At 35.9% G+C, this 23,022-nt stretch overlaps 1 long non-coding RNA gene across 1 annotated transcript, besides 2 other annotated features; it reads left to right on the top strand.

Annotated features, from left to right (window-relative positions):
* Positions 1,964-2,013: a silencer, noted in NCBI's record as "silent region_15779". NCBI's record gives its function as "represses an Ori minimal core promoter by ATAC-STARR-seq in GM12878 lymphoblastoid cells {active_cell/tissue: GM12878}" and the evidence as "EXISTENCE:reporter gene assay evidence [ECO:0000049][PMID:35858748]".
* On the top strand, positions 2,556-20,750 carry LOC105377515 (uncharacterized). Its single transcript, XR_939409.1, has 3 exons — positions 2,556-2,996; positions 11,677-11,818; positions 20,657-20,750. It is a non-coding gene; the product is annotated as an uncharacterized LOC105377515 (long non-coding RNA).
* Positions 4,977-5,146: an enhancer, noted in NCBI's record as "experimental_75444 CRE fragment used in MPRA reporter constructs". NCBI's record gives its function as "activates a minimal promoter by MPRAs in K562 erythroleukemia cells, with activity observed for both the introgressed and non-introgressed 4:162170849 variant alleles {active_cell/tissue: K562}" and the evidence as "EXISTENCE:reporter gene assay evidence [ECO:0000049][PMID:34662402]".
* Positions 20,751-23,022: the final 2,272 nt, after the last annotated feature.

Here is a 23,022-nt window from a genome sequence, read left to right as displayed (position 1 = left end):
CAATATTTTTCTCAACGTTAGTTGCAATTATTTACACATGTTTCCAGGCCATAGTCACGATAGCACTACTAGTCAGAAAAGCCTCCAAATTAGCCCTAGGACATAATTTAACTGTTTACACTCCACATAAGGTGGCAGGATCACTGTCCTCTAGGGGGAACTCTTAGCTAACAAACAGTTAGTAAAGCAAGCATTCATAAGGTGGGATAAGCAGTAGTCGCTCTAAATAACATCTCTCCCCAGCCAGAAGTACTCAATTAGCTGGGCTAATTGCTCTTTAAAAAAGCACTTAAATTAAGCAAGGGAAAGGTAGCTAACAGTTACACTAACTCCAAGTATGCTTTCCTAATTTTCTGTGCTCATGCTGCCATTTAAAGGGAAAGGCATTTTCTTATCACCCATAAATTCCTATAAAATATCACCAGGAAATTAACCGTTTATTATCCTCAGTTTTTCTTCCATGAGAAATATCAGGGATGTGTTGTAAGGAACATCAAAAGGAAACAAATAAGGTAGCTGAAGGAAATAGATTAGCTAATCAGGCAGATAAGTCAGAGGCAAAAAGCCTCAAAGCGTTAGTACAGTTCAAGCCCCTTCTAATCTAGGAAGGCTCCGTAAGAAAAATTAAACCTCAGTATCCCTTACAAAAATAAAATAGGCCACTTGTCAAAGGCATTCTTTTAAGCCCTTAGGATGGCTACAGTCAGGATGACAAACACTATTTGCCAGCCTCCAGCCAATGGAAAGTCCTTAAAATCCTTCACCTAGCTTTTCACTTGGGAAAGGATAAAACTTCAATGTGCTCAGAGATTGTTTTCAGGCAGGAAGCCTCTAAATTGGTTAAGCATGTAAACTTTCTAGCTCACTTCCAACAGAAACCACCTGTATTTAACCCAGGAAATTTGGTATTAGTGTAAACTCTCATCTCTGTCTCCTCCCCTAACCCAACCTGGGAAGAGCCTTACACTGTTTTTCTTTCAACCCCCTCAGTAAAAATTACAGGAATCGACTCCTGGATACATCACCCTCAAGTCAAGCCCGAAGAGCTTGGGAGCAACCTCTGACAGCCCAGAGGAACGTCTTGAATATCAGTGTAAAAAAATAGAAGATCTTAAGCTGAAAATCATAAAAAATAAGTAACTAAGGGCTACCCATCTTACTCAGTCCCACTCCTACCTCACCAAATATTTTATTGTTTCTACCCTTTCCTCTCAAATTCACCACCAAATATTACAACTTCTTTTTAACACATATTTATAGGAGATTTTCAAATATACATAGGATCACATTTGTAACTTTTTAAATCCCCAAAGGAAAATGTTATATATTGGCAAGTAAAGTTTTAGAGAAAAATTATTTACTACGCCACTCTTGTGGGAATGATTATAGTCACGCTATTATTTGCAATAGAACTATACACTGTGGCACCTACAATGTGAAATTCTCGTTATAAAATTCTAATTGCTGTAATATTTTGCCTGATTATTATCCTTATAACAGGATTAATAATTGCAGAAAAAATTAATCCAGATTGTTTTGCTTATAGCAGAAGTAATAGTTACTGATAAGAAATAAGCATAAAAGTTTTACCATCATTAAGTTTAATAAGATTTTTTACTGAAGTTTGGCAGTATAATGCACTCTAAGCTATGAAAAAAATGTTGTAAAGAAAGAAATTTTATGTAAGGAAAAATTTTGTATGGTAAATACTTGTCCTAAAAAGAAATGACTGGTTGTTTAAAGAATGAGTATTTAAAACAAGTAAAAACGTTTAAGTATGTTGTAACAGAGTCTATACAAGTCATAAAACAATTCAATAATTAAAGAAAAGGAATTGTCAAAATTAATGCTAAAGTTATTTTAGCCACCCAATAACGTATCTCTCCCAATCATATTACAAGTTATAAAAATGGCCTAAGCCTAAGGTTATTCTCTAGTGGCAAGCCAAGGGGAAATGTATGCGTTTCTCAAGAAAAATGTTACTTTCATATTAACGTTTCTGGTAATGTACAGCAGCATCTAGTGGAGGCAAACCAGTATTGCAATCCACTGGTATAACTAACAGGTGTCAACAGGTATAACTAACTGGTATAACTAACAGTTAGACTATAACTGTCAGTTATAGTCTAAAGGACCCCTATTAATGGTGGTAATCTTAATGCTCGTATTCAAACCCTGTATTTTAAACCTTCTTGTCGAATTTATCACTTTTCACCTAGAAGTAGCCAAACTCCAAACGGTGCTGTGAGCAGAGCCACACATGGACACAGCATTATTCTGAGAACCCTTAGATAAACCTCAGAAGGCCAAACTGCTGAACCCCCTACACAACACCCCTTTTCAGCAGGAAGTAGCCAGAAAGAATCGTCATCCAACACCCCCTAACAATAATTAGACCTACTTCTCTTTGAGGGGGGAATAATACAGGAGTTATTAAGAAATTATTTTAGGCAGCTAGATGGGGTAAACGTTCTCGGTGGAAACTAAAAAAAAGTTGGCTTAAAGAGCTAGACCGGCAAACTTTGATACGCAAATGCCGGAAAATAGAAACTGGGTCTACCCAACATGGTGATTCCCACCATCTTCTCCTTGTCACCTGGTGTACCAAGTGTCATGGCTGCCCCCACGTAACGCCATGTGTTCAAAACATCATGTTGACCTGTATTTGCATATTAAAGGCTAGGGTGGGAGGGCAAGGTTTTTTCGGCTACGTGAACGACACATCCGGTCAAACCAATCCCCTGAGCCCTATGCAAACCAGACACTGCCTTCTCCAGCTTCCGGATATAATGGACTGCCTTTCCGCTGCACACAGGGTTCCTCTTTGTTCTGAGCCCCTGTCCCTCTGTCTCTGTTTTCTTCTGTCTTTCTTCTTTCTTGCCTGTTAAACTTTTTACTTCTTAACGACCACTCCACATGTGTCTGTGTCATTACTCCTAATGGCACAAAACTAAGGACTCTGGTGTTCCTGCAGTCATGGAAGCTGCATCACTATTGTGAGTGGAATGACTTTTTTTTTTTCGATTGTTAACTGTTGGTGTATGGATATAATATCTATTAGGCATATATTGTTTACAGTTTAATTCCAGTCTTTTATTATCTTTTCTGTCTTCTGCCTATTTGTTCTACCCCTTATTAAAAGGTGGATATTTGAGTCTCCAGTTATTACCGTTAAGCTATCTATGTTTTCCTTCAGTTCTCTCAGTTATTGCTTCATGCATTTTAAAGCTTTATTAGATCCTATAGGTTTGTAATTGTTGTCTCTCCCTAATATTTTGACCACTTTATCACTTAAAATGTCTTTCCTTCTCTCTAATAACATTTTTTTCTCAAATTGTATTTTTTGTTATTAATAAGCCATTCTAGGTGTCTTTTGGTTACCATTTGAATTATATATTAATTTCTACCCTTTAACGTTTAACTTACTTGTGCCTTTTATATAAAGTGTGTCCTCATACATAACATATAATTGGATATTTTTTCTCTTTCTTTCAATACATATCTTTTGATTGGAACGTTCAACAAATCTACATTTAATAAAATTACTGATAAATTAAGATTAGTTGTATTATTTTATAAATGTTTACATATGTGTGTATACATATATATATATATCTCACGTTTATTTTAAATTTTCTCCTATTTCTATTTCTGCCTTCTTTTACGTAAAATAAACACTTTTTAGTTCTCCATTTTATTTTCCTTGTTTTTCCTTTTAATATATATTGTGAGATATTTTCTTCATGATTGCTCTGGGATTACAATATTTATATCTACATAAAACTGTATTTTTTGAGGGATTTTTTTTTTGCTGGGTGTAATTATTTTAGGTGATGATCTTCCCCTCCTCTCCTCTCGTCTCCTCTCGTCTCCTCTCGTCTCCTCTCCTCTCCTCTCCTCTCCTTTCTCATTCTTTCACCCAAGATAGAGTGCAGTGGCACCATAATAACTCTGGGCAGCCTTGAACACCTAGGCTCAAGCAAAATTCCCACCTCTGATTCTCAATTGGCTGTGACTACAAGCATGTGCCACCATGCCTGGTTATTTTTCATTTTTTATTTTTTTGGTAGAGATGAGGTATTGCTATGTTGTCCAGGCTGGTCTGAAATCCCTATGCTTCAAGAAATCCTCCTGTCATGGCCTCCCATAGTGCTGAGATTATAGGCATGAGCTTCTGCCCCCAACCTGATGATGGTCTTTTTCTTTTTCAACAATTTGAATATGTCATTCAAAAACAACGGCTTTCTGGTGTCCAGTTCTTGTGAGAATGCTGCTGTTAGTGTTATTGTGAATCCTTTGTATGTCATGAGTTCCTTTCTCATGATGCTTTCAAAGGTCTCTGTTTTTGGCTTTTGAAAGCTTGACTAAAATCTGTCAATGTGTAAATATGATAACAGCAGTTTCCTGTCTGGGGTGGCTGCTGCCATGATGCCAGCTGCAGTAAGGGAGGTGCAGTGGGGGCTGCGAGTTCCATGAGCCCACAGGAACTGGGAACAGGTGGAAGCCCTGCTCACTTCCAAGTTGGAGGGGCAGCAGTCCCGCCCTCCCACGTGGAGCTGCAGCTGCCCAGTGACAGCTGGGAACCCAGGCATCTCTGCAGTCTCAGAGGCCTGAGAAGCCCCATTTCCCCAACAGGCTCAGAAGTGTCTGCTCCTGCTGCCTGGCCTCTCCCCACTCCTAGCACCTGATCCAATTTTAGAGCAAAGTTGTGGCCAAGCATGAGCATTGTCGTGACCTGGCCAGGTTTGCACGTGCTTGGGGCAGTGCTGACACACCAGCCCCCTGCTGCCTCAGCTTCTTCCGGACTTTCAGCACCAACGAGCATGGGGAAGCTGAGGGAGAGCTAATGGCGGCTCAGTGTGGGCCTGCAGGCACCCATCAGCAGGAATAGCCTGGGCACTATGGCACTGTAGATGGCAGGCTAATGGCAGCAGGAAACAGGCTCCTGGCTGGAAAGGAGCAGGTCTCTGGTGAAGCCCCACCTTCAAGGCAGGGATGGCCTGAAGCCTGGGGGCTGAGCTGTCAGTTCATGGACCTGAGTTAGAACTTATGGTGCTTTTTCTGGGCCCGCCCATGACTGCCCATGGACCAATCAGCACACACTTCCTCCACTCTGAAGCTCATAAAAACCCTGGACTCAGCCAGACTTGAGCAGTCAAATGGATGACCTGCCTACGGAGAGGAGCTTCTCACTGTCGGTGTCCTCTGAGCTGTTCTGTGTCTCAATAAAGCACCTTTTCACCTTGCTCAGCCCTTACTTGTCTGTATACCTCATTCTTTGTGGAGGCAGGACAAGAACTTCGGACCCACTGAATGGCAGGGCTGAAAGAGATGTAATACAAACAGGGCTGAAACACCTTGCTCACCATTTCGCAGGCAATGAGAAGGAGAGAAGAGAGAAGGAGAGAAGAGCTGCAACCTCTTGGGGATCCCAGACCTAGGAGCTCTCCAACCCAGGGCTGTGACACCCTCTCTGGGGCTCTGTGGCTCCTGGCTTCTGGGTGCCATTTGTTCTCCAGTGCTAGCCATGGAAGCTGATTGCAGTACTCCTGGTCCAGCTGTAGCCTCACAAGGAGCTGGCACCTGTGCTGGTGCCTGGAGCTTCCTGCCCCACTGCAGCCAGCATGCCTGGCTGTGCACAGTGGCTGGACCCCATGCTCACTCACTCAGACACCCCTCGCCATTCCTTGCCTGGCTCGCCTTTGGCAGATGTGGGATCCAGGTGGGTAGTGTGGGCCAAGCAAAGCCTGCCAGGCTGAATCTGCAGAATGAGCCTAGAGGGCCTGAACAAAAACTTGAGCAAAGGTGCTACTGGCCACAGAGGTTTCTGGCCAGAAAAGTGACACCCCAAGGATCCTGTGACGCATATAATTGAATTTATATTACTTGGAATCTTTGAATTGCTTGAATGTATAAATCATGTTTTCATCATATATGGAGCTTTCTGATTATTTCTTACTCTTCTGTCTCTCTCTGCTCTTCTTATGTCACAATTATTTTGTATGTTGGTATGTTTTGTGGTGTCCCTTAGACCTCTGAGGCTCTGCCCACTTTTTTCATTCTTGTTTCTCTTTGCTCCACAGACTGGATAAACTCTATTGACTTATTTTTTCATTGTTCTAATTCTTTTTTTTTAGTAAATTTAAATCTGCTGTTGAGTCATTCTTATGATTACTTTAAACTTCAATTAATATAGTTCCTAAATCCAGAATTTTTGGGGGGTTCTTTTTTGGAATTTGTCTCTTTTTATTGATATCTTGTGTTTGATGAGATGTCAATCTAATACTTTAGTCTTTTAGACATAATTATCTTTAGTTCTTTAAATGTATTTAAAGTTGCTAATTTAAAATCTTTGTCCAGTGAGTCCAATACCTGTTATTCCTTATGTTAGCCTCTATTGACTGCTTTGTTTTATTGGTATGGGACATAATTTAATGCTTTTTAGAAAACATTTCTTAAAAACATTTGTATTGAAAACTGCATCTTTTAGATAATATGAATTGAATTGTAAGCCTGGGTTTCAGACTCCCCTTTCTTTCCTAGGTTTTATTGGTAGAGGTGATTTCCTTATTATTTCTGTGGTTTGTTTGTTTAGTTAAATGTCCCTGAAAAGAATCTATAAAATCTGTATTCCTTGACATTTATGGCTACTAAAGTCTCTGCTTATTTAGCTTAGTAATTAAGTAATGTTTGGACAAGAGATTTCCCTAAATGCCTTGAATCAGTAAGTCTCTGAGACTTTGCCAAGGTCCTCTCTTTCTGGTGTTGGTCATGTGTTCAATGCACTTGTGAGCAGTTTTTCACTCTGCTTTAGCCTTCATTTCCCGTTTGCATTGAGTCTCAAAATCAGATAGTAGTGAGGTATTATTGCATTCTTTGGGCTTTTCTGAGCAGGCACACTGTCACACAGACTTTTTAGGTCCCTAGGAAAATGAAGAGGTTTCAAAGTCACTGTGGACAACTTATTTCTCATATAATTCTTATAAATGTTTTGAATTCTTCTTGTTTGTCCCAACTTGTTATCATTGGATTTGTCAACTGCAGTGTTAAATATTTGAAAGCAATTTTTCAGCAACTTCTTGGGCAATAGAACATTTTTTTATTGACCAAGCTCAGAATAGAATCTAATAACAATCAGCTGTAGAAATGAGACTTTGACAGGGTGCTCCCATCCATGCCAAACAGTAAAAAATTTCTAGGTATCGACTTTTGAATGAGCTGCATAGTAAGTCTTCCCCCATCCAATGGCTACTAGATTGCTAGATTTTACGGCTCCATGGTTCTGAGGCTGCCATTTTAAAGTCTACTATGCACTTGGGGAGAGGTGGATGGGAAAAGGGCAAGTTAGTATCTCCCAAAATCACTGTTTTTACAAAATTTGGCTGTCTTTGAATAGAGTAGCATGTCTCAAATGATTGCAAGCTTTTGTTTAATTTCAGAGTTCTGAAAAAAAGTATGATTTTCATACTGTTGTCAGTTGTGTAATGCCTTTTTGATTACGTGAATTTTTGAAGGACCTTGTTCTGCCACTCTTTAAGTTCTGCCTTTCTACTTAACCTTTTATAAGGGCTTAGAGGCTGGGTAATTTCCACTGGTGGAAAAGTTATGCCTTAAGGCATTCTCTCTATATTAATGTGCCTTAAGACATCCTCTCTATATTAAAATATAGACAGATTTTTTTTTTACCAAAAATATTAATGTTTTAATTCTAACACTAACTTATCAGGTCTCTACCCAAATAATTATTTATCAAAATGTACTTCTTATAGAAGAAAAACAATACATTTACAATATGAGATAATCTGTCATTCACCTATGTATGTATTCACTCACGAATTTATTGTAAACAGATACTTACTGAACAAACAAAATTTTCTAGACACTGGAAAAACCATGGTGAATAAATTATTACATCATTACTCTAATTAATTTTACATTATATACTTTCATGGAGATCATTAATAATGTTGGAAAACTCTTCCTTAACTTCTGTCTTCATATAATAGAAAGACCTAGATATGCCCTCTTCCATTTTTATTTTTGAAATTTAAACAGTTTAAAGTGTAAAATTCACATACAGTTTCCATAGCTAAATGTACAGTACATAGCAAGTAGATATCATATAGTCTTTGTCAAGAAAATTTTCTATGACAATCTCTCTTAAAGCTGAATAAAGTATGGCCTCTTTTTAAGAAAATAATTAAATTATGGTGAACTCCCAGTCTTACACATATTTTATTAAAATATTAACATAATAATACTTTTAAAATCTAGAAATGAACTCATGCTTATATTTTCTATGAAGCTATAAAATGAAATCAAATTTACAAATTGAATATTAACAGATCTATACAAACAATACAATTTTAATTAGCTAATTAATATTCTGAATGTTGTGTTAAAGCTTAGTTCCTGAGAGAGGCTTAATTATGATATTAATGTCAACAGAACAAGAAGTTCTTTTGAATTTGTCATTTCTAGATTTATGAGTGACATGTCAGGCTTAAATTATCCTGCTGTTTACAAAATTTGGAACTATTGTGGAAACTTAATGTGTACAAGGTGATGACATCACTGAGATTTCACTTGATATGAAAACATTTTTTATGTCACATTTTCAATGTTCAATCCACATTCACCCTTTCAGTTTAAAGTAGGACTACTTGTCACCAAAGCATTAATAAGTAGCACAGCAAACACCAACTCCAAAATTATATGGTGATGCTCAGTTATAAGGGAAATACCCAATTGATCCAAAATATAACAAATATTCCAAAAGAAATTGTGCTCTTCTCCATGCTTCATGAAACACTGTGAAGCTTTTAAAAAGAATAAAGTAGATTTTTATTCATGGACCTGGAATGAGACACAAGAAATATTATGAAGTGAAAACCTAACATTGAATAACATTAAGTTTTATTTAATATGTTGTATAATAATATAATACTCTACAGAATAATATACTAAATATTACATACTATATATAAATATTTTATGTTATAAATATATGTGATATTTATAAAACAAATTTTCTGTATAAGCATATATATTACAAATACCTGAAAGAATAAACTCCTAACTGGTTAACTATTTTTACTATTAATAAATGGGAATGAGTGGGGGAGCTGAAAAATTGCTGTTACTTATTATTTTGCACATATTTATATAAAAATATTTAATCTGTATTATAAAAATATATACCATACAGAGAAAACATATATTTTAATTCTTTGGGACCAGGAAATTTAGGATAGTAATTAGATAAAACTTTTATAAATGTAAATTGATAAATAAAATTAAGCCTCCAGTGATTGGTTAGACAATAGCAGTAATGAGGTTTGTGTCAAATTAACCTGAATACATAATGAAAACCAGCATTTTCAGTTCCTTTAAAAGTTAGGCTGTAAATAAAAACAATTGAAATTTATTTTAGATTTCTAGTATGGCACTTTTTTTTTTTTAAGATGCAGTCTCTCTCATTTGCCCAGGCTGGAGTGCAGTGGTGTGATCTTGGCTCACTGTAAACTCTGCCTCCTGGGTTCAAGCAATTCTCTGCCTCAGCCTCCCAAGTAGCTGTGATTGCAGGCACCCACCACCACACCCAGCTAATTTTGTATTTTTAGTAGAGATGGGGTTTCCCCATCTTGGCCAGGCTGGTCTTGAAGTCCTGGCCTCATGATCCACCCACCTCAGCCTTCCAAAGTGCTGGGATTACAGGCATGAGACACTGTGCCTGGCCTAGTATGGTACTATTGATACAGACAAGAGGCAGAAAGATATTTGGTAGAAGAGGGCAGTTCCTCAGCAAAGGCCCTACCCTCAAGCCTGGAAACCACAGCCCTAAATGGGAACAGACATTCATGTATTTGTGCACAAATGTTGCCTTCTGGCCTGCCACACCTCCCTATCCTGTACTCATATAAACCCCAAACCCCAGCCTCCATGAAGAGAAGAGCAGAAGAGTAGAGGAGCAGAAGAACGGCAGAGCAGCAGTGTGGTGCAGCAGCGAAGGAGACAAGAGAAGGAGTGTCGGAATGTCAAGAGGAATTTGGCTGGAGATGGTTGGAGTGGAGATCGGCCGCAGGATGAACGAACTCCTTTGGAAGATCATCTTCCCACTCCATCCCCTTTCCAGCTCCCCATGCATCCTTCTGAGAGCCACATCCATCTGGCAATAAAATTCCCCACATTTACCATCCTTCAATTTGTCTGTGTGATCTGATTCTTCCTGTACATTGGACAAGAAGCTGGTACCAAGAGGGCACTGAGCCGGTTAACACTTAAGCCATCTGCGGATGGCAGAGCTAAAAGAGCACTGTAATACACCCACTGGGGCTTTGGGAGTCATAGGCACTCACCCCTAGACATTACCGTGGCTTGCCCTGGCTCCTGCACCTGCCTGTCTGTGTACCTCCCCTTCTATAAGGGGTTTGAGTGTGCAGTGGCCTAACAGACAAGCCACATCCCTGTTGCACATCCTGCAAGGGGGTTCAGGGAACTCTCTCATTTCACTATAGAACACTCTCAGTATGTGGTTTAGAAATTTGAGCATTTAACCAATTTCAGGTAAAATAAACATCATTCCATACAAATAGATTTATTCAAAACCCTCAACTTCTAACACCACAATACACCATTTTATGTCTTACATCATAACAAAAGTCAGTTGCTTTACCAAAAACAGGTAAACTCATCTCTCTATTTAGTATTTTCTTCTTAAAGTACTGGTTCATTCTATTACCAACCAGATCCTTTTGTCACAGAGAGAAGTCATAACTTAAGCCAACAACTATTTTTCATAATGTTCATGAAGGTATGGAGTATCTTAGTATAATATAACTTAATTGTAGGTATCTTCTCACCTCTGCCTCTTCTCTCAGCAACATTAATTTTGCATGTTTGTTGTTTCTTGAAAAAGTACGGTGTATTTTATCTTGAAAAAATAATTTACATTTATACAATATAAATATTAAATATATCTATGTGCATATAGAAGAGCTACATTATTTGTATGTTATTTGTACCTAAAAGTTGATACAAACAGGAATTCAACAATGATTTTATCATATATTATATATCACTAAGGGATATATCCCTTAAACTAAGGGATATAGCTAACCTTTAGAATTAAACCAATTATCTTACCAAAATGATTATCAACGTTTATATGGTAATACTTTTCAGGGAAAAAACACTTAATAATTACACTTTTGGAAAATAATTATAAATATTAATTGATCTTGTTTACAAATATGTTCAAAACAATAGTGACAGTTTTTAAATATTTTCCAGCACATTGACCATATTTCTTTGCTTTTGATAGCTATGTAATTCTTTATTTAGGTTTAAGAATGTACCCTTTTCCTAAAAGGATATAATTAGATAAATCAAATATGTAGCTAAACTATGATAGAAATCTCTTGAGTTAGGTATGATAAATATAATATAGGACCTCTTTTCACATTTAAAAATGATACCTGGAAGCAAGGCTGTTATCTTTCTACAATTTATAAAATTACAGACAAAGGCAGTAAAGAACATTACCTTCTGGCAGGAAAGGAATATTAACAACCTTGGGATCTCAGAAAAGACAGAATATACCTTTATAGTTATAGGTACCACAGGTGAAACATGGATCAGTTAGATTCAAAGGTTCTTTGTTTCTGATCTTTTCAGAGAAGTTGATATGGGAAATGAAGTACCTCTGACTCCTTGAAATAAATTACAACCCTAGAGACTTTAGAAGACTGTCTAGGTTCCAGTTTTGTTAACCAGAAAATAAGAATGGCTTTGCCCACTAATCAACATCTCTTGACAAGTAAGTGTTGGCATATTATTTAACATATTTTGTTATATCTATGCAAATAAACATGGGCAATGAAAAAATTAATGGTATTGAATTCCAAACATTTCAACATCACCTTCTGTGTTTAAACTGTGCCTTAGGAGCAGAGGTTTGATCACAAGGAGGAACTGGGGAACCAAAATTGACATTTTGTTTAACTGCCATCAGGAATAAATATAAATTGAATTTCCTAGAGTTGATAAAGTGTGGCGTACTTTGTACCCTGAGATAAACAAACAAACAGTGTAATAGTTTAAGCATTTTCTTTTTGTTGCTGACTAGGAAGTGAGAAAACAAACTCAGAAGCAATTTCCTTTATCCCTGGGCTGTGCAATGCTGATTTTGGAAGACATGTTACATTCTACGTGGATATAGAAATTATTTGAGAAAGAGTCTATTTTCCATAACTGGTATTAACATGCTAACCGTTGTAATTTTGCAGTTTCTTTTGTCCTGAAATACTTTGTGTGAGTGTATTTGTGTGTGTGTGTGTGTGTATGTGTGTGTGTCTGTGTGTATTTGATGAGCAAATCTTTCTGAGGTCTGACTTCCTTGCAAAGTAACCCTTTAGCAAGTGCATTTTGTCTTGTTCTAGTGCTTTTGTCATTGAATCTTGCTTTCATATGGGTAAGTTTAGATATAGGTATTCTGATATGAAACATGAGGTCTTGGGATCGGAAGACTGTCTGTTTATTACTTACAGCACATCTTAGCACTGGTTCTCCTTGCTCCATTTCCCACAGGACAATAAGGTAAAAACATGATGTTATCTCATGCATGCAGTGGGATTGTGCTGCAGGAGAATGATGATGGAATTATGAGACTTGGAGCATAAGCAGGGTGGTTGGCACATTGATCCATCCTCCCCTCTAGGGAGAGAGAAACACTAGCATATAAACAAATCTCTGTGGAGGGGGGAAGGCTCTCTGGCTTCCTTACCCTGTGTTGTAAACAGACGGGTGGGAAAAAGTCTGTAACTCTCTTCAGAAAAAAAAAAAAAAAAAAAAAAAAAAAACGCTATTGTTCCTGAACCAAACTGTGTGTCGGGCTGCTTGTTCTCTTGGCCCAATAACAACATGCAGATGAACTGAGAAAGAATAGAGTTTTTATTTCTGTAACCAGGTACAAGGAGAAGGCCTGGAAAATAACTCCACACAAACTCAAAGTTACTAAGTTTTCCAGAGCTTATATACCTTCTAAGCTATGTGTTTATGTGTAAGTGTGAATTCATCTAAAGACTTAAGTGATTAACTTCTTTTAATCTATAACTAAGATCTGAGTCCTCAATACCTTCCTCTGAATCCTCAGTAAATTTACTTAATTTAAATGGGTACAGGTGCTGGGGTGATTACTTTTATCTTGTCTCCTGCTAAATCATGGAGGTTTGAGGAGTTCCTTCAGACCCCCAATAAACTTGTTTGTGGAGGTCTATGGAGTTTCTTCGGACCCCCAATAAAATTTGTTGAATCCTAAGCTGGTCCTATTAAGAACTTCTTCATTATCTTGTCATGATTTAAGGCCCAGGAAAGTCCTAGGCAAAACTCTTGGTGGGCTTTTGTTATATTCCAGTCCTTGTATAATTGCACTGGCTCTGTCAGCTTTTAAAATATTTAACTTAACCACTTAGTCAGTGCTGAAACAGTTGTTATGGAGGCCTGCCTGTTCAGCCATTAGGGAGACCTGGACTGCCACACTATCTCTAGCCTTCAAAGCATTTTTCCTATTGAATCAGGTTTCAACAATGTTTGCTAGTTTTCTTTAATAAAAAGCCTGCAAGATCCTAGTGTTTTATGTTTTGTAAGCATGAAAATATTAATGAACAATTATCTTCATTAGTTTGAAAACTAAAGATGTCTGTATGTACAAAACTATGAAGAAAAAGTCATGAAAATGGGAGATAAATATTTGGGTTTTGTCTTAGATACAGGAAAAAAAATTTCAAGCATGTCATTGTCAATAAAAGTTGATTTTTCTACAAGTCCTCTGTTTGTTTATGTACCTAATTAATAACTGTTACTGAATAGGTCAAACTGGATATACCATTTGGCATCATAACATAGTAAAGATGTATATCTGAGTGTTTCTGTGATTTGAATCCAAAGAAAAATAACAATAACTTTTGGGTTATTCTTAATTTTGCAACATCTTAATTCTCTTAAGAAAGATCCTGTGAAATTGACCATATCTAAAAAGTATACATAAATATTTGATAATATATTTTATACCTGAATTTACTTTTATGATTTCATAGTAAACTTATCACTTATGGGAAACAATTTTTCTTTTTATATGAATTACTTTTCTACGTTAATTATATATTGTGATGGCAGTAATATATGATCATGCTCCTAATACTTGACTGTGGTCAAATTCATGATGAAAATTCCTGTTGTACCTTTGCATGAACAATTGGTAAACACAATTTTATATTATTAGCACAGAGCAACGTATAGTTCTAGCATCTTATTTAAGATACTACCCTACTGTGGTCTGGCTGTTTGTATCCCCTTCCAAATTCAGGTGTCGAAATCATAACCCTCTAGATGATGTTATTAGAAGGTAGGGCCTTTGGGATGTGATTAGGTCATGAGAATGGAGTCCTCATGAATGTAGAGTTCTTATAAAAGAGGCTCCAGGTGGGCCCTGCCCTTCTTCCTTTATGTGAATGCTTAGCTAGGGGATGGCCATTTATGAGCCAGGAAGCAGACTTTCACCAGACACTGAATCTACCTGCCCGTCAATCTGGGAATGCCCCACCTCTAAAATTGTAAGAAATCAATTTTTATATTGATTTCTTTTGATTTATATTGATTTATATTGATTATATAGATCAGCCACCTGATCTGTAGTGTTTTGTGGTAGCAGCCCAAGGAGACCAATATATACATCTTCTGCCCTATTAAAAATTATTTTTAAGGACATTGTTTCCCTTATTTAGCAATTTGAATAAGATCATTTTTCAGAATATGCATGGGAGTGTGAATTTAAGTGAAATTCCTGGAAGTCTGACAAGGGATAATCAACGTAATTGTGAATAAATTGCTTATGTGAGGCAAGTTGCTGAGGGATAATTCAGTTCTCTTAGGATTTTTTAAAGTAATCTCAAATAAAACTTGCACCTTTCTTTCAATGTTAGATACATAAAAATCTTGCTGAGTGATGAATATCATGGCTCTTTAGGTTTTTGCACCTGCTTTGAAAGGATAGTTAAGGCTCAAGTAAAATTATTGTAGGCACTTGAAATTTCTCACCTGTGAAAGACAAAAAGCTGCAGTAAGTGAGAGTCCTTGGAGACCACTATAAAAGATTCATTTGCAAATAATCTCAAGTGCTTAAGAGATAACTTGTAGAGGAAAGTGTTTGATATTTGGATTTTTTTGTATTACTATAGCAATTGTGAGAACAAATGATTTTTGCTTCTTAAGTATGTTTTTGGGAAATCACACTTATAATGACTGTCTTTTAAAGGTCTTACATCTCAACAAAAGCTATAGGCGAGTTAAAATGAAGATTAAAGAAGAAACATTTAGATTAGAAAACATTTAGATGGAAAGAAATTTATTGTATAAGGTCATTATTTTGAGTGCTTAATAGAATTCTGAGCTTCCTGACAATTTACACTCTCTCTTAATGCCAAACATCTCGGTTTTATATTTATTCTTTATTTATTCTTTTAATCTCAAACTTATATTTTTCAGACTAGTTTTCTCTAACACACTAACTCTAATTTCCATGTATGTGCTGTTTAGCACCCCTTGTTTACTTGTAGGACTTATTAACACTAAATACTTAAATACATAGCTATCTGCTTAATGTCTGTTTCTCCACCCGAAAAACTAGTTCCATGATATTATAAACCTTTATTTTCCACTGCATTCTTTGAAGTGCCAATGACATTCCTTTAGATAGAATTCCCAAGAAATCTCACATTGAGAATAGGTAGTTATATCATCACACATAAATTATCCTAAAAGGAAAGAGATCCAGCAAAGTCATTAGAAATGAAGAAAGTGATAGCCCTAAAAAACTGTCTTCTTTTACAGTGATGGTGGGTGACTAGACTTCTATCACCTTGAGTAAGAAGAATAAAATGCTTCATTTTTCTTTGTGCTTTCAACATATTTTAAATAAGTGCATGCTCTGAACACAAAGTACTTAATTAGTATTAACAAGACTAATGAATAAATAGATTTATGTTAGTTGTCTTCCTTATCCAGGCCATGGAGATGCTGATAGCACAAGGAAGGGTCAAAAATATCTTATCCATAATTCTGACTTTCTGATATTGAGGAAAAAGAGTAATAGTCATGGAATAAGCCCTGACTCCTCTTTACATTAGTGTACTTTTACCTTGATAATGTACAGTTATAAATGGATACTTACCAAGTTTGTATTTGTTATGGATCAATAATTACTCAAAAAATATTTATTTATTTTAAATCAGCACAATTATAGGATCTGAATTACTTGCACAAGCCAGTAAGATATATTTTTCTATAGATATAAGTTTGAAAATAATAAATGTTTTAAAAATTATATCAGTTCAAGACCCATATAGATAACATATTTGACTAAGTTTTACTTACGGAAATGATCATGTAAAACAGACTATACTCTAGACACCTTGATTAGATTAAGGCTACTCAGGATCCATTTTATTCAATGATTACAGATTATGCTTTATTTTTAGTTACTTTATTAGACGGCTAATCTCATTTACTCTAAATCAGTTTTTCCAATTTGCATTATTGGAAGGCAGTCTTTACCCCAGTTATTGGTTCCCTTATGTCATCCCCTGTATACTGATTAAAATCTCTACAGCTTTAAGTTGGGAGGCATGAATATGTGTATGTGCCGGCACACATGAGTGCACACACACACAAACTGCAGAAATCTACAAAGTTGACACATCACATGCTTCATCCTAATGTTTTGACTGGACCTATGTTTCTTTATTGTGCTTTATTTGTGTTTCTATGGAGTTGTGTGAAAATCTGTTAATTCAATCTGTCAGTCATCAATTGCACACCTGCTAATGTATGTTCTTATTGTAGTGACTACATTTCAGACTTTGCAAGCACGACTGCATTTTGCTTTTCTTCATAATGCTTTCTACTTTGCATTTACAATTGGTTCAGCAGTGGTATTATTTCTTAGGCAAACAAGAGGCTATTGTGAATGTAAAGGCAGGTTTTTCACTTCCACTATTCCAACCAAAGTATCAAAATCAAGTTTGCTTTTAGAAGGATATGAATGAAGCGTTGCTTCATTGCTTTGTGTTTCATGTCCTGAAAGTGCTACTTACCAGCTCACAAATGCTGTTATTACTAACATCGTAGGTATTATATATATCTGCTACTATCATGTATTCAGTAGACTGCACAAACGCTTTTCACATAAGAATGTATTTGCACAATGTGTGAACATGTTTTGAATGAAATAATTAAGTCAGCAAAATCTAAACATTACCTACTGACCATTAACACTCAGTTCTAAATTCTATTCAACTTTCAGTTACCTCTAATAATGGAATAACAAAAACATTAAATAACAAAGAGTCTGTAGGCTATTATATTTCATTTTGAAATGAGGCAACTAGGGCATAAAAACTAGTGATCTCAACAGTTTTGGAATCAAACACAATGAGTTAAATATTTTTATTTGGGTTATGTGAATAAGTAAGTGGCTTATAGAATTTTTCACTTCACTCAAGGATTATTTCCTATAATTCAGCCAACATCTGAGAAATATATTTCTTCAGAGCTGCTGCTACCTATAAATCTATGATCTATTTTAAATGCACGTGACATTCAAGTTTAAGGAATTATATTCATTGCCTATCCTTATTTTCTGTTTATAATATTAACTGGACTTAGGTAAGTATCATAATAACAATAGTAATAAACATTTATCTAGAAAGAAATAATACTGTTTCCAGTAATTATTTTATTAATTTTCACCACACTACTGAGTGGAAGGAGAACAATAGTGCTAAATTCAGGAGGATGCCTTAGTAATATGCTGAAATACATAGTGGTCTTGCTCTTGCTACTACCTTCTGAAAAACAAGCACACAAGCAAAGCAGATACTAACTACCTAATGTTAGAGCAGTCATACAGGCAGTTTATTTTTTTTAATTAAGTAATTTTATCTGTTAAATAATATATAAATGCAGGAAAATTCTAAATGCTAGAAAAGTTTACTAAATGAAGAGTTTCTAAGCATAAGGAAAATTCCCTTCAGTTTCAGTAGAGTTATTTATGACACAGGGTATATTTGTGATTTTGTGTTAGCTTTTATTATTTCCTGCTGTCAGGTATCTGTAGATACAGGGCTGCTCATAATTTGCTTTTTAACCATACTTTCTCACCAACAGGCAGCTTCCTACAAATATGGCATGTCTAAAGGATTTCTCATTTATTCTAACTTTTCCAGCTCTTTCTTCATGGTAAACGTGTCCAAGAAAGCTCATGTTAATCCCTGGACCATGTTACGGTTGCTTTAAAAAAGGGGTGATTATTTTTCTTTTCAGGATGTGCTGCCTCCTTTAGAAAATAATTTTTAGCCACACATCCCTGAAATCTGAACCTGTAGGGGTTCTCTTTAGCCTCCTTGCAACCCTCTGTCATCTTGTTTTTTAAAGATGGATTTTGTATATCACTCTCTCACATTCCCTGTGGTATTTGACGATTTATGAGAGAAGCAGGCATTTCCCATTTATACTCTACAATGTAACTACTATAAATAAGGTGGTGTGGTGGTGTTGTTGTTTTGTACTGAGTCAAAATAACTAGGTCAGTGCATTGAAATGGAACCTAAAGATAAAGATAAAATAAATGTGTATGCACAGTGCAGAAAATATTCATAAATATTTAGATTTTTCTTACAGCAACTTTAACTTCAAATATGTATACTAGGAATATCTAATCAGATAAACAGGAGGTTAAGAAGGCTTGCTGTGTTTTAGAACAGAGATGGCCCAGAGATGATCCACGGGGGTCCAAATTAGGTGTAACTATGTTATTTTTATTAATGTATTGGGTATAATTTTGTCTGTATTTTGAACAAATAATTATTGTCTAGACATTTCTGTATGGTACTGTCAAGGGAACAGGGGATATCAAAGTGAAAATATGCAGTCTTTTATCTTTATGAGCTTGCAATTAGTAGGAAAGGTGAGCTAGTTTTTAAGGCACAGATTCCTAGTCTTTCAAACAGTAAAAGGAAACATTGTTGCGTGAATTTGAGTACAGAGAGAATGCTTTTATTAAAGAGCTGGTTCTTGAAGATAGGACTTATTCAAAACAAGAAAGAATGAAAATATTCCAGAAGAAAGAGCATGGGTGATGAGAAAATACGTGGTGCCCATATAAAAAGAAAGTAAATACATTTGGCTGAAGCCTTGAAAATACAAAAGATTTTAGTTGAATAGAGGTTTTAATAGTTTTTTAGAAACCCTCAAATACCAGGCAAAGAGGTGTTATCCTTTTTCCTTAGGCAGTGCAAAAACAATGCTATAAAATACAGAGATAGGTTTTATTAATGAGGAGATTTGAATGGATGTCTTATTTGAACAATTTTAAGTTTCCAAAATATTTATGTTTCTTTTTCAAAACTTTTGAAACAAAACAGACATAAAAATATCTAAAGTGTATGGTTTTTCTGCTCACAAAATAACTTCTACATAGGCATAATTTTAGAAAATAGAGTTTCCTCTGCTTTTCATGTATCAGTGAGGAAAATATTCTATATTTTGCCCCTCTTGCTAAATTGCTGTTCATTATGGAAACGTAAGTATGAAAACATGTAAGGTTTTCTTCTGTCTGTACGTTCATTAGGAATTTCAACTAGTAATTAGCAAAATTGACAATACTGCAATGAAGATAACAAAGCTCAAACTTTGGAGCTTTCACTTTCATGAGATTTTTCCAAAGCCTAGACAAGGGCTCAGGATGTTTGTTCTTCAAGTTCTATATTTTTGTAAGATTTTCAAAGTAAGATTTTAAATACAATTACTAAAAACTACTACCTCTTAATTGTTTATCTTACTTTCTGTCACTTTTTCTCTCCTACTGGCTGATATTGGACAAAAGCATGGGCCCTTTTGAGTCCAACTAAGGACTCAAAAGCCCTTATTGAGTCCTTGTTGAGTTGGGGAATCTTCTACTTTTGGTTTAGTGGAATGTATTTCTAAGACTTGCAGAGTATGGCTGGCCATTCCCATTTTAGGAATTACTCTACACTCTACTGGATTACCTAGCATTGTGGCACAGGACCAAAGGAAAAAAAATTACACCATGCAAATTTAATCTATAGCTCAAGCATTTGAAATTATGTGGATAGCACAGAAAGAACAAAAATCAGACATATGGATACAGAAATTATTTTGTGAAAAAATGCTCTAATTGTGAAATCTATAAATTGTAAGTGTAGTAGTCAGTTCATTGACCCTTAGTCAGAATGGACATTCTCTCCTGTCTGAGTATTTCTATAATTCAGTTTTTGCTGTTGTGCCAGATGGATGAGTGAATGGTGGAATGGGTAGATGGATGGATGGATGGATGTTTGGATGGATGGATGCATGCATGCATGAATGCATGGGTAGAAAACCAGGTAAATAATTTAGAGGAGTGGTCAGGAATTGTTTAAAATAGAAATCATCAATGTTCATGTTTTTGCAGCACAAACTGGTTTCAATACTTCACACAGTGAATGTTTTTGTGTGTGAAGTTGCATATTATATGAATCTGTGTGCATTAGGTTCTGTTTAAGGGTGCTTCATGGTTCTTTGTTTTTTTTTTCTGATAAAGTTTGGCATTCCCGAAAGAAATGACATGCAAAATTGCCTCTGGTGTGGCAAAATGGTTTGAAAAAGCAAATATTGTAGTGACAAAACTGCTACACATATAAAGAAAGCAATGTAAGTAATATTACAGTAATTTAAATGTATGTTTTTGTAGCTTCATACATAGTAGAAAATTACAAATGCTTTTGAACTATTTCATGTATGCCTTTATTTCAAAATAATTTTAAATAGTTTTTACAATCATTCATTCTATAAAAATTAAGTATAACTAAAAGGGAGTATCCCGGCTGAAGCCATAAGTGTTAAAAATAAGATCGCTGGAAGCATCAAAATGTCAAATATTTGCTCAATTTGTTTTTGTGTTTTATTAGGCAATTAACTTGGTTGACTCAAACAACACAGTGTCTTATGTGGAAGCTCAATCCTAAATTCAGTTCTTTAATTCTTAGCTTTAGCTGTTTGGTGTCTGTCCCATGTTTGTATGGTTCAAGGGTAACCTAGATATTTAGGCAATGGTTATACACAGATTTTGGAGCATTCTTTCTCTGGTTCTCTCCTTCCTCAGGTTTCTCTCCCATTGTCCAGCCCTATGGTTGTCTAAAACTCAGTACTTTTCTTCCTCATGCCAGAAAGATTTCACATTTTCTTTCAAAGATTCAGCTATCCAAGTAGCACTGCCAGCAGCCTGCCTCAGGCCAAAAGTCATAAAATCCACTCTGGGGCATTCCCTTCCCTCAAGTGTCATCCAGTTGGGTTGCTTTGTTCACCTTCGGTATCTTTAAGATTTCGGTATTTACTCGAGTTTATTTTTAATTTACAAAACATTTGTTTCTGTAGAAGCTTAGTAGGCCAAAACCTAAATGGTGGTTCTCTACCAGTCATTGAGAATGTGGCAAGTTTCTGAGTCCTCAGAGCTAACAAATGTGAAAGACCACATTCTGTCTCTTAGAGGTTTTTAGTTGAGCTCCTTAGCCTCATCCTACACACTCTGAGAGTCTGACCTATGCTATGAGGGAGAGACTGTGTTTGTGTTGTCAGCACTCCCTTGTATTTCAAGCAGTGTGACACTGTATGTTGTATGATTTTACTTTGTATTTATGACCCAGACATCCAGACTCCCGTGTCACTCCAGGATTCAGAATACATCAAATGTTCCAGGGGTAAATCCAGCCTTGTTTTTTGTGTTGGTGAATGGTCAGGCCAGTTCAAGTAACCTTGATGATTTTCATCCCCCCTTACCCCCAGAGAGAATGTTCTGTTGAGCTAATCCTGATTATCATGTCACATGGAGTGTTCTCATTGTCAAAACTTGAAAACCACTGAGATATCGGTCAATAGGTGAATGAATAATTGAACCGTGCGTGATACATCCACATAATAAAATATTATTCAACAATAAAAAGGAATGAAATTTCAAGCCAATGAAAGCCATGGTTAAACTTTAAATGCATATATTGCTAAGTGAAAAACAGTCTAAAAAGTCTACATACTGTATAATTGCAACGATGTGATATACTGAAAAAGCCAAACAGACTATAGTGATAGCAAAAACATCAGTGGTTGCCAGTGTCTAGAGTAGGGCTAGGGGAATGGTTAAGAGAAGAATAGGTGAAGCACGGATAATTTTTAGGGCTGTGAATATAATTTTGTAATGATGGATACATGGCACTATGTATTTGGCAAAACCCATGGAACTGCACAGCAGAAAAAGTGAACCCTAATGCCAACTATGAACTTTCATAATGTATCAATATTTGTTCGTAAATTGAAACAAATGCTCAACATTAATAAAAGCTGTTAATAATGGGAGAAATTGGGCAGGCAGAAAAAGAGTATATGGAAACACTAGGTCTGTCTAATTATTCTGTAAATCTAACACTGCTCCAAGAAATAAAATATATTAATTAAAAAAATAGTAAATGTGAAAAATATGATTTCCTCTATCAATGTTTTTTCTATTTTCAGCAGGAGTCACAACTGGTCATAGTCTACTGCATCCTGTTCATAAGTAGGATGAAAGAAGTCTCAAATAAGTGGAATTTTAAAGTAATGCTTGAATAAGTTATCCTATGGAAACTTCAGGGCTTGCTGTCTGTGAACTAAATGGCTCATGGACGAGTACTGTGTAAGCACTCTTCACAAAATGAGGATAGACATCCGGAGCACCTGAGTGTTTCACTGTTAAAACTCTTATTGCTTGATATAGCTGGAAGATGACTTCTGCTAATCTTACTCAGTGAATGGAGCATTAGGCCATGAGTCTAGTTGTGTGTTGAATATTTGAATTCTGTTGTGGCTACAGAATATGTACCATAGGGAAAATGTTTAACAGTAGTAAGCCATAGTATTTGTAATATACCTTAGTTTTTA

The sequence above is a fragment of the Homo sapiens genome, chromosome 4, assembly GCF_000001405.40.
Source record: "Homo sapiens chromosome 4, GRCh38.p14 Primary Assembly".
Lineage (NCBI taxonomy): Eukaryota > Metazoa > Chordata > Mammalia > Primates > Hominidae > Homo > Homo sapiens.
Note: the sequence above shows the minus strand (reverse complement) of the source record. Positions and strands in the feature narration are given on the sequence as shown.